This window comes from Homo sapiens, chromosome 4 (genome assembly GCF_000001405.40).
Source record: "Homo sapiens chromosome 4, GRCh38.p14 Primary Assembly".
NCBI classification, from domain to species: Eukaryota; Metazoa; Chordata; class Mammalia; order Primates; family Hominidae; genus Homo; species Homo sapiens.
This window is the reverse complement of record NC_000004.12, coordinates 150,617,451-150,633,728: the sequence shown is the minus strand read 5'-3', so window position 1 is coordinate 150,633,728 and position 16,278 is coordinate 150,617,451. Positions and strand designations below refer to the sequence as shown.

The following is a 16,278-nucleotide window of genomic DNA, read 5'->3' as shown; positions in this document are numbered from 1 at the left end:
AGTAGCCAGATTACACGAGGCCTTATGGCCATATTGGGTGCTTTTCTAAAGAGGAATAAGGAGCCATAAAGATTTTATGATGGAAAGGATGGGGAACATGATTAGTGTTATGCTCTGAGAACCCCCTGACTGCAGTGTGTAGAACAAAGATTGTGTAGACTTGCACAACTGGATGAACTACGATGCCTTTCACATTGAAGGGGACTAATTGTGGGGAAGGTCATTAATTTGGTTTTGACTGTGTTGAAATTGAGATGGATTTATTCATTCATTTATTCAACAACTATTCAGTAGTGTGTCAGCCATTGTCTAAAGATTTGGGGATTAGACAGTGAACAAAAGAAATGAAAATCACTGCCTTCACTGAATTAACATTATTACAATATTTAGCACTCAAGAAGTATTTCTTATATGCAAAGCACTATTGTAAGCACTTTAAATATTGTTTTATATAATCTGCCCAACAACCTTATGAATTAGGTTCTCTTTTTATTGTTATTCTCATTTTATAGGTAAGGCAGTTGAAGTACAGAGATGTTAAATGTCTTGTTCACACAGCTAATAACATAGCTAATAACTGGCAAACCCAGAATTTAAAAATACTGTGTTTGATTTCATGTTCTTAACTGCTAAACTATATAGCAAGTAAACATTTAGATATATGGCTCTAGAACTCAAAAGGAGATTTTCGCTGGGTATATAAATTTTGGAGTTCACATACATGTGGGTAATTATAGCCAAAAGTTTGGATGAGATCATAGGATGAGAGAATATAGGGTGAGAAAAGGAATGGCCTAGAAAGAAACTCTAACTTAGTGGCTAAGATGATTAGGTATAAAAACTACAGAGCTTATAGACTTGGAGGGGGAAAAATATAAACAGGCAATGATAAAGTAGTTGAATAACTGCTATGATGCAGCAAGTATAAATTGCTGAGATCAAAATTACCTGTAGGAGCTGACATCTAAGCTGAGACTTAGTTGTTGGATGATAATTGGTAGCAGGCAGATAGGGTGAAACATGGTTGGTGGGGAAGATGCCACAGGACAGGGGCAACATGAGAGAGTACACATGAGAGAGAGATAGGAGGAGAGCTAGGATAAGCCCATGGGATGGAAAGTAGTTCATTGTGGTTGAATAATGTTTTTGGGAGCACCAAGCCTAATGGTGTCTAATTTTTAAAAAAATCTTATTTGACTTGTTTGCTTCTAGTTCTCTTTTGTTCTGATGACTCTGTCTCTTATTAATTATTAAATAGTGCATGCAACAAGTTTTTATTGAATACCTACTCTGAGCAAGGCTCTTTGCCAGGCATCACTGTAACAGGGATTAGCAAGATGAGCATTGTGTCCTTGGAGCTTGCTTTTGCCTAATTCTGCTATTTAGAGTTGTCCCAGAAAAATTCTGTTGCTGGTATTTTTCTTTTTCTAAATTAGTTCTTTTGTGATCCTAATCTCTGCTAGCACCTCAGCCATCACTTTTTTTTTTTTTTTTCCTTGAGACAGAGTCTCACTCTGTCTCCCAGGCTGGAGTGCAATGGCATGATCTCTGCTCACTGCAACCTCTGCCTCCTGGGCTCAAGCAATTCTCCTGCCTCAGCCTCCCAAGTAGCTGGGATTACAGGTGCCTGCCACCATGCCTGGCTAATTTTTGTATTTTTAGTAGAGAAGGGGTTTCAACATGTTGGCCAGGCTGGTTTCACACTCCCGACCTCAAATGATCTACCCGCCTTGGCCTCCCAAAGTGCTGGGATTATAGGCTTGAGCCACCACGCCCAGCCCAACCATCACTTCTATACAGGAATCTCAAATCAACACTCTGATCTTTACCTCTCTTCTTAGTTCCACATCTCTGTTTTCAGAACCTTTTTGATTTTTCCATGTGGATGTACTTCTGGCCCCTCAAACTCAACATGTCCCAACTAAATTCATCTCTGTTTGCAAGTCTCTCCTCCTTCCGGTGTTTTCTGTTTTTATTAATGGCATCAGTATTGGAATCTAACTTAAAACCTTGGATTCATATTCAACAGTCTCCTCTCTTTCATATCCCTCACCTGTAAGTTTGGTAAAGATTAATAAGGCCAGTATTAACTCAGTGTTAATGACATTTGGGATATACACATTCTCATATGGAAGAGTATATTGCTGGTACATTTTTGGAAGGTGATTATGTAATACATATCGAAATTTAAGACAATTTATTCTCATCTTAAAACATTTTCATATATGCCATTCATGCAGAGGGTCTTGTGGTTTGCTTCAAAATGATAAATCAATTTTTCCTATATAACTTAACATGTTCCTAAATTGGATGCCTTCCACTCCAATTTTCTCATAAATTACTCCTAATGTTTTATACTCTCATTCCGAGAAACAAGTCCCTTTTTTGGTGTACTACATACTAATAAAAATGTTAGGAATGGTAGTAGTAGCAGCAGCAACTTAATGTTACTAGTTAGAGATCCCTTTACTAAGTCCATATATCTTGTTAAATTACCTTATAAGATAGATAATATTATCCTCTCTGCATTTACTTTTTTTTTTTTAAAGATCAAGAATAGTCTAAACTCTGAAATCTTTAAAGCAAGTGTTGAATATTGCCACTATTTCTAGGAGAAATTAAAGGATAAAATAAAGCCAAAGAAAATATTTTAAGGACTATCTAACTTTACAAAACTCTTGGTTCTCTTCAAATATTTGTATTAATATTTTAATGTTTTTACAGACATTATGTTTGTACAAAACCCATTGACACACTAGGTTATGACACTGTTTCTAATTTGTTTTAATTAAAATACAAATTTAAGAGTTTTTATAGGTGGTTAAGATAGTTTTAGGCAACAAAAATCACATAATGATGGAAATATTTCTAAACATCTCTTTCCATAGTATGTTTTTCTAAGGTAGTTACCTTAGAGTTAAAATGCTACCTTTATGTTAAAGGTATATATTTTATGTGTTTATTTTCAAATAGCTGTTTCAGAGCTTGTTGCAGTGCACTGCCACAGAAAAGTTTAGCAAATTTGGAATAATTGGCTTTTTAAGATAATTGAGTATTATCATACTATTCAACCATTATTAGGTAATTTCTGGTCACTTTTTATCTTATTGCAAAGTATTCTAAATACTGTATTTGTTTAAAACAGTGTAATCTGTAAACCTGTTTAAGTAGACATAAACTACAGTATGTGTTAATATGAGAAAATTGCATATCACATATGACATGATTACTGATATTCAGACTGAATAAGGATGCCAGAATTAAACTATATATTAAATATTAATAAAGCTCAATTTCTGACTTTTTTCTCTGCAATTATCTTCCAACATCCAGATGAATTATGTTATGTATCCCCTTTGGGCATCGCTGCTGTAAGGGATGTAGTGCTATTGAAATTTGTGGAGTAAACTATTGATGTCAACACATCTTTTTAGGATAGATCATTCTGGTAGTTCTTTTTGATTATAGATTTGAAGAAGAAAAACACTGCCAATAGTGAAATCATAGGTGTTATAATAACAGTAGACTAGGCATGAGATATGGCAGAACTGTGGTAGTGGGCATGGATTGAAAATTATTTAGGAAAAAACAATTGAAAGTTCATTGTAAGAAGCTTAAGGAGAGGGAGGGTTCAAAGATGATATACAGGCTTTGTGCTTGGGTGATTCTGTGGATAACTGTGTCAACATGATGGGGGTGGAATTACAACAGAAGGGAGCTGGGTTTGCAATATGTTTTTGTTGTTGTTGTTGTTTTTTGATACTGAGTTTTGCTCTTGTTGCCCTGGCTGGAGTGCAATGTCGTGGCCTTGGCTACTGCAACCTCCGCCTCCAGGGTTCAAGTGATTCTCTTGCCTCAGCCTCACAAGTAGCTGGGATTACAGGTGCCCACCACCATGCGTAGCTAATTTTTTGTATTTTTAGTAGAGATGGAGTTTCATCATGTTGGCCAGGCTGGTCTGGAACTCCTGACTTCAGGCAATCCATGCAGCTCGGCCTCCCAAAGTGCTGGGATTACAGGCGTGAGCCACCATGCCTGGCTTGCAATATGTATTTCTTTATATACCTTTTTATTGTTTTATTTTGTTTACACAGGGTCTTGCTCTGTCACCACCCAGGCTGTAGTACAGTAGTGTGACCTTGGCTCACTGCAACCTTCGCCTCCTGGGTTCAAGTGATCTTCCTGCCTCAGCCTCCCAAGTAGCTGGGACTACAGGCATGTGCCACCATGCCCTGCTAATTTTTGTATTTTTAGTAGAGGTGGGGTTTCACCATGTTGGCCAGGCTGGTCTCGAACTCCTGACCTCAAGTGATCCACCTGCTTTGGCCTCCCAGAGTGCTGGGATTACAGGCATGAGCCACTGTTCCTGGCCTATACCTTTAAAAAAAGGAGCTATTTTATAATTGGTGGGCCGTTGTAGTTTATACTTACATTTTTAGTATTTTAAGATTGGCAGAATATAGTTCTAAAGAAACAGTATTGGAATGTTTTCCTTTACTTCCTTAACCCATTACATTGACATTTTGAGGCTGGATGCAGTGGACCACAACTGTAATCTCAGCACGTAGTGAGGCTGAGGCAGGAGGATTGCTTGAGACCAGAAGTTTGAGACCAGCCTGGGCAATATAGTGAGATCTGGTCTCTACAAAAGAACAAAAACAAAAACAAAACAGCTGTGGTGACATTGAGCTGTAGTCCCAGTTGCCTGGGGGATGAGGCAGGAGGATCATTTGAGCCCAAGAGTTTGAGGCTACACTGAGCTATCATCAAGCCACTACAGTCAAGCTTGGGTGACAGAGACCCTTTCTCAAAAACAACAGCAAAAATTTTGAGAGGAATGACTTAGAAGTGTATATTAATACTTGTTATCCATTTAAAACTTAGTGTTGATTAGCCAACATGATATGAGTTTTTGAAATGACATTAACAGTAGCTCAACAAAGAAATACAGAAATCAAGTACATCTTTTTGAACTAGTAGGTTTTATTGCCTTATGTTCAATGGAAGTAACAGGTTAAAAGAAGGACTCATGGTTCAGAGATACTTCTTTCTTTCAAAACTTTAACACTTCACCATGCAGATTATAAATGATGATTTTTCCTTTAGAAACTGACTTGCTTTAAAATGATGTATGAAATAATATGTGTTTTGCATGTCCTGTTGTAATGATAAAGGTCATATGGTATCATTTACATAATCTCTAGCCAGGAATGAACTCAGTAATATCGTTGGTATAACATATACATTATCTGAGGTTTAAAACTCATTATTCGTGAAAGTTAATTTTACAGTGGGTGTGAATGATCTATCTTATGGCTGTTTTTTGATCATTCTATAAAATAATATGGAGCAAAGCCTGCTCAAATAACAAGAAAACCAGTAAAGAGTGATGCATTTGCCTGACTCTCTCTATACCCGATTGGATCTTGATTGATGGCAATCATTTGTCTTTGTCAAAAAAAGGAGAAAAATTCAGACATTGAAATAGGAGTGCTATCAAACTTTCTACAATGGCAGAAAGATTCTATTAATGTGGCCTTAGAGTATTAACTGTCTCTGTTGGGAAATGATAAAGAATGTTAATTTTTTTCCTTGAGCATATTCAAGTGTAAAATGCATTATTTTGTCAACTGTTGGGATTAAAAGAAGAATACTTTTGATTTATGGTATATTGGAATTGATGAAAGCAAAAAAAGCTTAAAAGCTTAACATGGCGAAAAAGGAAATAGATCTTAATCCTTTTTATTATTACAATTTTTCTCAATGAAATAATAAAAATTTAGTATAGTGTCATAAAATCTTTACTACTGCATTCCATCTGATAATGGACCTTGAAAAGTTGACTTCAAAGAGGGTCAAAGTAGAAGGGGAAACATATTTTTAACTGAATGTTTTATTCCTTAGAATTCTCTTTTCTTCCTAAATATTAGGGCAAAAAAGACATTCCAGTACTTTATATTTTTACATCTATTAAGTAGTCTTATGATTTGGAAATGTAAAAGGAATGTAAGAACTGTAATATTTGAAAAGAATTGGTAATATCATTTTGCATCAAGACTAATTCCAACCTTGCATAATTTGTTGCAACAAGAAATATATCTTACATATTATTATGTAAATATTTCATATGTCTTATGAGGGCTGAATATACTTTCTATTTAGTTTTGGGAATTTGCTTTCTTTTAATTACAGTATTTTAGATTGCTAATTTTGACCTTAATTTTAAAGTCATGTTTGAAAATAATTCAAAATTCAAGTGATGTTCTATAGAAAATATTTTCAAGATTAACTACCCTTGTGTTTATACTAATAATGATTTAACATTTATACCATAAAAATAGAACTAAGTTAAGCCTTGTTATATGTCATTTATTGTAGAATTTTTTTGTCAAAGTACCTTAGAATATTATATTGAAGTTTTGTTATTTGCATACTTATTAATTTTCAGCACACAGTCAGGAGTACCTTAGAATATTATATTGAAGTTTTATTATTTGCATACTTATTAATTTTCAGCACACAGTCAGGCTCTCATTTTGTGTTTTGTTGAAATAGGACCAGGAATACTGAGCAGCCCAAAATGACTTGTATGTAGCTTTAAAATGTGCTTTAGTTTTTTTTCAGATTTGTTTTCCTAAGGCTAATATGAGATGTTGAGCATAAACTTACATTTTGTTTTACAAAACTATATGACTGAAAAATTTGCCCTTGCCAATATGTTCTGATAAATGAAAGGTGATTATTTTACATTAACATAAGTGTTGCCATCTTGATGTATGTATGATTTTAGAAGAAGTGAGTTACTGTTTTAAAAAAAGAATATTATCTTTTAAAAAAGAATGTATTGTCTTTCAATTTGAATCAAATATAAGTAATTAATCACAAGTTATATAGCTTTAATTAAAGTTTTTGATACGGAATTAAGGTTTTCTTGCTCTTCTAATGGTAATCCCATTTCCAAGTGTTTAAACAGAAGCAATTTAAATCTTATCTAATATGTGGCAGTGAAATCTTAATTTGTTAAAAATGGCTTTTTAAATGAATACTTCTTTACATATGTATTTAATTTCTAAAGTCTAGTGCCATTTTTTTCTATAAATTAGTTATTGGTTTTGATGAAAACCCTTTACATAAAAACTACAGTCTCTTCTTTTTTGTTTTTTTCTTGATATATGTTACCACAAAGAATAACTCTTAATGGTATGTGATACTGAAAATGTACCCCTAGAGTATGAAGATGACTTCATATTTTTCAGTGAAGGATAGGATTTCATAGGAATTAATGTTGTATTGATAAACACATAGTAACAACATCTTAATAACAAGCTATTAAAACTTATTTTGATAAATACAGTTCTGCACATGGGATTTGCAAATGTGGAAAACCTTAACTGTAAAATTTTAGTATATATGTTATGAGGTTTAACTTTTATTTGAAGCACTTTTTAGATGTTAAATGTAGGTGCCAGTTTTGAAGGGTCTAATCAAACAACTTTAAAGCCAAAAGGATCCCTGGGCATCATGTTAAGCCAGGTCAGTTCATACTACAGAGTGAGAGAATTAAGATGCAGAATATTGTGTTAAATACCCAAGTTTCCACAGCTGCTCAGTAGCATAGAAAAATCAAAGACGAATATATAGCATCCAGGCCAGTTCGTTTGATTAATCCAATTGTTTTTTCATCCTGGCTAGACATTAGAATCCCATGGAAAGCTTCCAAAAAAAAAAAATATATCCGGCCAAGGACTGTGGCTCACACCTGTAATCTCAGCACTTTGGGGGGCTGAGGTCAGGAGTTCAAGACCAGCCTGGCCAACATGGCGAAACCCTGTCTCTACTAAAAATACAAAAATTAGCCGGGTGTGGTGGTGGGTGCCTGTAATCCCAGCTACTCGGCAGGCTGAGACAGGAGAATCACTCTAACCCGGGAGGTGGAGGTTGCAGTGAGCTGAGCTTGCGCCACTGCACTCCAGCCTGGGCAACAAAGAGCGAAACTGTCTCAAAAAAAAAATAATAATAATTATATATATATATATATATAATCTCGGTACCAGGATTCCACCACAAGAGATGCTGATTGGGCATGAATATTTTTATAAAGCTTCCCAGGTAAATCTAATGCTCATGCAAGATTGAGAGGCACTGTGTTAAATTATAATATCTCTTTCTGTGAAACCCAAGATTGTTTGTGAACAGTGGAGCAGGTTTTCAAGTTAGATTAAGATATTGAGCATAGCTGCATATAATATTTTACAAATAATTTTAGATAACTTGGAGATTTTCTGCTATTCTAAAAATGTTACTTTTTGCTCATTTGAGATAAAATATAATTCTGCCTGCTCCTTGAAAAAGCTTTGAAGATACGGCTTTATTTTATCAGTCACCTGTAGTCTAAAAGCAGTAGTTGGCATCCACACTGCCTCCACTCTGGTCACTTGTATGATGTATATCTCTTGGTAAATTTGCTTGTAGTAGATTTCAAAAGGTGATTGTGGGGGATCAAGTGGCCTTTATAGTTAGAAAACCTCTTCTGGAGATTTCGACACATTCCATACTTGACATAGCACTTCTCACCCACTATTTCCTACTCCTGGTAATTGTTCTAAAGTAATAGCACTTCTCACCCACTATTTCCTACTCCTGGTAATTGTTCTAAAGTATTAACATACATTTTTCAATTTGTGTCTTCCAAAAACCTATTTTCTAGTTATTTTCCTTGACTACAAAGAGCTCTTATAAATAGATAGAAAAAGCCAAACAATCCAATATAAAATGAGTGTTTCTTTCTGAAAATCACTTCAGGATCATCTGTTTGAATTATTATTGTATTCTTTGTTATCTAAAAACTTGTAAGTTAAAAAATGTGTTTGACATTTTAAAAACCTTAATTACTTTTAATTGACAAAAGTTGTACATATTTATGTACAATATAATGTTTTGAAATATATATACAATGTGGAGTGGCAAAATTGAGTAAAGATATGCTTTACATCACATGCTTTTTTTGTGGATCTGACATTTTTAATTCCTTTATCTAGTTTTAATTAAAATTTATTTTTATATACGCATTAGTTGTATAAATATGTGTAGTTTATAAACATGTATAAACATTAGTATAAAATTCTACTAAACAATATTTAAACACATTTGTTGTTCAAGATTATGGTAGAAATTTTTCTTCTCTTTGGATAACTTTAGGTTTGATATGTTTTTCCTGTTCATATAGTGACAAGGGAGAGAATAGAATTCTGACAGGAGAAAGCAGAACTTAGAGAAGGGAAACACATAAGCCCTTGTATGAGTGAAAAGGGAATAGTGTTTGTGTTTGTGGGGATTTTATTTTTATTTTTATTTTTATTTTGAGACAGAGTCTCTCACTCCATTGCCCAGCCTGGGTTTCAATTTTTTTTTTTTTTTTGATAGGGAGGTAGGGTTTGGCATTGTTATACAGAGGAAAGGCAGTGAATGACTGCATTTTCATATTCTGAATTCAAATTGTTTGAGCAACAGTCAGGGTTTCAAACATGTATATTTCTTGTTATTGTGCTAGGAAACCATGAGAATGCAGTTAGTTCATAGTTGTCACAAAACAAGTATTTGCATGAATGACATTTAAATTTTAAAAAGAAATAGATTTTAAAAACATTTTACTTGAATATGTTTACGAAATGAAAACAATAATGTAATCTGTTCATATAGTTTGTACCTTTTTGGTATGTGTATGTTGTGGTAGAGGGTAGTTCAGTTATCTATAACATACTAAAGTTAATAGAGTGCTGTGGCACACCAGCATGGCACATGTATACATATGTAACTAACCTGCACATTGTGCACATGTACCCTAAAACTTAAAGTATAATAATAATAACATAAAATAAAAAATAGAGTGCTGTGGATATTATTTTAAAATTTTTGTTAGATAAATTGTATAAAATTTTCTTATCTAGGTGGGGAACATTCTTCTCAGTTCACGATTCAAATTGGCAAGATTTTTTTTTCTTTTTCAAGTATAAGGGGTATATAGAAATGCATTCTCATTGTAAAATATTCAATTATTATGTGAAAATTCTCTTTAGTACTTATCCCTACCCAGAAAGTCTCCTAGTGGTGAGGAGGTAAATAGTTTGATGTATAGTCTTCTGGTTTCCTCTTTTGCATTTATAAACACACTATTTTAAAAATATAAATGTGGCTATGCTGTGTATAGTATATTAGCTACTAACTTTTTTCTTATATTCAATGCTATTTTATGTATATCTACCTCATTATTTTTTAACAGGCATATACTATTTAATAGTATGAAAATATATAGTTTATTTTAGCTTTTCTACTGGTGGACATTTAGCTGGCTTCTAATTTTTCTTTATTTAGAGGTGCTGCAATCTTGTCAGATTCATCTTTCTGAATGAATATGTGTGAGCATTTCTATTAGGATACATACCTAGAAGTGAAGTCACTAAGTCAAAAGGAGTTATTTGCAATACAAATTTTGTTAAATACTGTCAGAATGCCCTTGTGGGGCAAGGTTTGAATGTACCGCCAGGAAAGATTTGTCAGTAATGGTCTTCTACCAGCAGTGCTTCCTATTCTTTTTGGTCATCAGTAGCTAGCTAGGAATCTGCCCTTCTTCTAATCCAAGAGTACATATGCCTTTAGCCAAGGGTGGGCAATCTTGCTTGCAGCCCAGCAGAAGTAAGGGAAGGGGAGAGAGGAAATCAGCCTTAAGATTGTTGGCCGGGCGCGGTGGCTCACGCCTGTAATCCCAACACTTTGGGAGGCCGAGGCGGGTGGATCACGAGGTCAGGAGATCGAGACCATCCTGGCTAACACGGTGAAACCCCATCTCTACTAAAAATACAACAAATTAGCTGGGCGCGGTGGCGGGCGCCTGTAGTCCCAGCTACTCAGGAGGCTGAGGCAGGAGAATGGCCTGAACCCAGGAGGCGGAGCTTGCAGTGAGCCGAGATAGTGCCACTGCACTCCGGCCTGGTGAAAGAGCAAGACTCCGTCTCAAAAAAAAAAAAAAAAAAAAAAAAAAAAGATTGATTTAGGTGACTGTTGTCTTCACCCACCGTTTCCATCTGTTGCCTTTAGGCTGAAGCTCCCGCATTTTCCCCCGGAAGAGTACTTATCTTCCATGTGTCTGGGATTTTACCTTCCAGTTGATCCTACTAGATTTCTTTTCTTTTTTATAGACAGGGTCTTCCTCTGTTGCTCAGGCTGGTGTGCAGTGGCACAATTGTAGCTCACTGCAGCATGAAACTCTTGGGCACAATGATCCTCCTGCTTTAGCCTCTCAAGTAACTGGGACTACAAGAATGTGCCACCATTGTGGCTACTTTTTATAACTTTTGTAGAGATGGGATCTTGATATATTGCCTAGACTGGTCTTGACCTTCTAGGCTCAAGTGATCCTTCTGCCTCAGCCTCCCAAAGTGCTGGAGTTACACATGATCTGTCTTTTAGAAATTCCTCATAATTTCTGCTCTTTTGATGGTCTACTTATTTTCATGTGCTCAGTACATCTCATGTCCATATCTTTAAATATTCTAAACAGGCCATTGCATTATAAAACTTGGTATTGAGTTTTTAAACATGTTGCCTCCCTTCCTTCACAACTTCAGTGTCTTTCTAGCCCATGACATTCAACAGGGTAAAGAAAAATAAACATGCTGCTGCTTGCTTTCCTGTATGCTTACAAAAGTTTAATTTACCCTTACTTCTTCATCTCTAGTATGTCCCACAGTTTTAGGTGGCAAGGAGAAAGAAAAAGTCAACCCAACTGTTTTGGTTTCCATGTAGGGAAGTTTATCTATGCTAGACCTTCTTTACATTGATCAAAAGGGTGCATACAGCATTGCCCTCAGTACAAGCTAAGACATCGCACAACTGCACAAATAGTTGTATTTTATTGCATTCTGTCCTCCTTACTCCCAAGAGAAATACATAATAGGAAAGTAAAAATTAATTCCATTTCCTTCAGCAGTATTTTTTGAGATTTCTGAGGAACTGGAAGTAATGATTTTGAACATACAGGCAAGTGTATGGAGTATAACTAAAAATGAAATATATTTTTTAAGTAGTATATCAAAATGGTAGCACTTTTAAGGTGTTAGGGAGGTAAAGATTATTTAATTCAGCTCATTTATTTTATTGAAAAGGAGACTGAGACCCAAGTAGGTTATATGAGTTTGCTAAAGATCCAACAGGTATTTAATTATAAAATCAGAACTAGTGCTGTTCTAACTAGTGCTCTAACTAGTACTCTAGTGCTGTTTTTCACACTGTGTTGCTTTTATAGTACTATTATGTAGTGACATAATTAAGCTTTTTAACAAGTATGTATGAGAGCACAACTTACAATATACAAACATTTGTTGAGGAATAAAGAAAAATAGGAAGCCCACAGTTTTTAAAAATACAACTCCTAAAAGTTAAAAAAATTAGCTTAAATGATAAGGGAGATCATGTATAAAAAGAGCATTTGAATCATTATAAAAAATATCTTTCAAAGCAGATGTTTGGAGACCACTTACTGCCAGTAATTTCCATTTTCATGCAATTGCTTTTACTGAGAGTTCTTATTAAAAAATCTTTTGCACTCTTTATCCTTTATTTTATTGCATTTTTTTTTTTCCGAAGAAGGGAAAGAAGTTGGAGGCAAAGGAGCCAGAACATAAGATTGCTGGTGAGCACTTTTTATCAAACAGCAGAGTACAATTAAATTTCTCCAAAAAAATTTCAAAACTAATATGTGGCTCTAAGTTTTTTTTTCATTTCAACAACTTTTGGAGTACAAGTGGTTACATGGATGAATTGTATAGAGGTGAAGTCTGAGATTTTAGTGCACTAGTCACCCAAGTAGTGTACATTGTACCCAATATGGAGGTTGTTATTCCTTGCCTCTCCACTGGTCCTACCCCTTCTGAGTCCCCATAGTCCATTATATCACTCTGTGTGCCCTTGTGTACTCGTAGCTTAGCTCCCACTTATAAGTGAGAATATGTGGTATTTGGTTTTCCATTCCTCAGTTACTTCTCTTAGAATAATGGCCTACACCTCCATCCAAGTTGTTGCAAAAGACATTATTTCATTCTTTTTTATGGCTGAGTAGTATTCCATGGTGTATACATACCACATTTTCTTTATCCATTCATTGTTCGATGGGCACTTAGGTTGATTCCGTATCTTTGCAGCTGTGAATTGTGCTGCAATAAACATATGCTTGCAGATGTCTTTTTGATGTAATGACTGATTTCCCTTCAGATAGATACCCAGTAGTGTGATTGCTTGATTGAATGGTAGACCTACTTTTAATTCTTTAAGAAATTTCCAAACAGTTTTCCATAGAGGTTGTATTAATTTACATTCCCACCAGCAGAGTATATGCATTCCCTTTTCACCACATCCATGCCAACATCTACTGTTTTTTGACTTTTTAATAATGGCCATTCTTGCAGGAGTAGGGTGGTATCTCATTGTGGTTTTAATTTGCATTTCTGTGATGATTAGTGATGTTGAGCATTTTTTCATATGTTTGTTGGCCATTTGTATATGTTTTGAGAAATGTTTTTTTTAAAAATACACTATTGTAGTTACTTTAACTCTGATGTAATTTTTGATCCATTAACGAAACATTAACGTTTTTAATCTAGGTATTTAATATGTCAGTATAGTTTAGCAAATTTCTTTTTACATAATAGGAATACAATAAATTTTTTGTAGTTAAATTACATTCATTTAGGAATTTTATACATTAGTAGTGGAGCACAAGTTATCCAATTTGTGCTATGTTGTGTAAAACTGAGGCTCCTGTAAGAACTCCAGTCTATTTTCTACCTTGATTTTGAGAGCAAACTCATTTTAACTTTGAATATGTTAGCTTCATTTTAGATCTATGAAAGAATGATCAGAGTAGGGTACATATTTATCATTTTGATGGGCTTTATTTAAGTGCATACTAGTTGCTTCTTCTTGTGCTAGAAGCTTGGGATTCATACAAACAGTGGGGAAGAACCAGACTGCCCTCAGTTGTGGAGCCTAATGGTATGATGGATGTTCAACTAGTTATTTAATTACAGCCTACTTATAATCTTAGGAATAACAAAATTATATAGGAATCTGTATAGTAATAACAAATAGACTGTTACAAGATGGTTGATATCTGTAGAATATGAAATATAAACAGACTTGAATATGTAGATACGCCTTCTTGCTAAACTTAAAAAACATCTTACTGTTAGGAAAAGTGTTTATAACAACCCTTATTTTGAGATTCTGAAGACTAACTAAATGTTTTCTAAGTAATTTGGAGTTAAACAGGTGTTAAGCTTTGCAATACTTGATAAAGGTCTATTTCATTCCCTCTGAGAATGACTCAAATCTTCCTGGAGAGGGAAAAAAAGCCACATCAGCTTCCAATTGTCAAAATTCAGTTTTTAAAAACTCAAGCCTTTTTCCCAATGGATTTCCAGATTGAAGAACATATGGACTCTATCGTCTGGGCAAATACTTTCATTTTCCTTTTGAATTACTTTTAAGACTTCATCCTGATATGAGAAGTGTAAAATGAAACCATAAGGTATTTAAACATGTACCTCTCTGTGATTTTATTTTCTTTTTAAACTTGCATTGATAATAAACTTATAAAACTTAGAAATAATGACTTTGCTTTTAAAATTTAATGCATTTTTTCCAGGTATGGCTGCATTTATTTCTCCAGCAAATTAAAATGTAGAGGTTATTCTTGGTGTTCTCTCTCTCTAACATGATTATTTCTTTTAGTAGACTTAAGTGCATATTTGTCTTTTGATTAAAACTGCTGAATTAGGATATATATATGTGTGTGTATGTGTGTATATATATATATATATATATATACATACACACATATACATAATATATGTATACATAATGTTTATTGTGAATTTACTACATAATTAAAATAAACAGCATTTTTAACACTTCTGTAGCTAAAGAAAATGCTATAGCAGACCAGAAAGCTTACTTGTCATATATTTGCAGTAAAACTAATGAACTGACTAGGACATAATATAGTTTATTGCTGTTTGAAGAGATTAGCACTGAAAATATTGGCTTGTTCTTGAGAGGGTGCAACTAATTTTTTATATAAATTATTTCTAAACTTAGGGCTTTATACTTTTTTAACTTTAAAAAATAAAAAACTATTCCAGGTTTCCAAAGATTAGGAGTTGAAAGAGAAGAGCTACAACTCAAATAACTTAATTTTTCTGTTTCCTAATATAAACAAAGTTGAGGGAATCTCATGAACCCTTTGGAATATTTTTACATTTCATTTATGCTTTTGTTAGCCTGCATAATCCTCATTTACTAAAAGATGACTTTTTTTCCATGCAAGATCCTTTTTGGGACAGAGAGTCTTTCAGATAGACAAGAGTATAAGTGATATGAGAGCAGGGTCTTCATTTGTTTTCCCCATGCTATATCCCTAGCCGAGCACATATAACTAAATGAATGAAGCAGAATAATGAAAAGTAAACTTTCAACAATAGTAATTTGCAGAAGCTGATTATACTGTGTGATTATAAAGGCAAGAAGAGAAACTATCAGAATCTAAGAGTTCTTTTTTTTTTGTTTGAGACAGGATCTTGCTCTGCTCTGTCACCCAGGCTGGATGTGCAGTAGGATGATCATGCCTCACTGCAGCCTCAACCTCCCCAGGCTCAATCGATCCTCCCACCTCAGCCTCCTGAGTGGCTGGGACTACAGGCTCGCACCATCTCACTCAGCTTTTTGTATTTTTTGTAGAGATGGGGTTTCACCATGTTGCCCAGGTTGGTGTTGAACTCCTGGGCTCAAGCAGTCTGGCCCACCTTGGCCTCCCAAAGTGCTGGGATTTCAGTCATGAGCCACTGTGCTTAGCCGAACAGTGCATTTTAATGTGTCTTTGTGATTAATAGACGAGGTTTAGTGGCTATAGCAATGAACTGGTAAAAGAAAATTGATGCGTAGCCTATATGGCTTCTGTGTACCTCAGGCGGAATATAGGAAAGCTCTCACATAGACATTAAGTTGTTTGAATTGATAGAGCCATTTTTTTTTTTTGAGACGAAGTCTCATTCTTGTTGCCCAGGCTGGAGTACAATGGTGCAATCTCTGCTCACTGCAACCTCCGCCTCTCGGGTTCAAGCGATTCTCCTGCCTCAGCCTCTGGAGTAGCTGGGATTACAGGCGCCTGCCACCATGCCCAGCTAATTTTTGAATTTTTAGTAGAGACAGGGTTTCACCATGTTGGCC

The 16,278-nt window shown here is 34.8% G+C and overlaps 1 protein-coding gene across 9 annotated transcripts in view, besides 1 other annotated feature; it reads left to right on the top strand.

The window, feature by feature from the left end:
• The window catches only part of LRBA (LPS responsive beige-like anchor protein), a 751,293-nt gene that overhangs the window by 381,999 nt on the left and 353,016 nt on the right, over positions 1 to 16,278 (top strand). The window lies entirely within an intron of this gene.
• Positions 4,280 to 4,501: a silencer, noted in NCBI's record as "fragment chr4:151550380-151550601 (GRCh37/hg19 assembly coordinates)". NCBI's record gives its function as "represses an EF-1alpha promoter that drives an FKBP-Casp9 reporter gene in an ReSE screen in K562 erythroleukemia cells {active_cell/tissue: K562}" and the evidence as "EXISTENCE:reporter gene assay evidence [ECO:0000049][PMID:32094911]".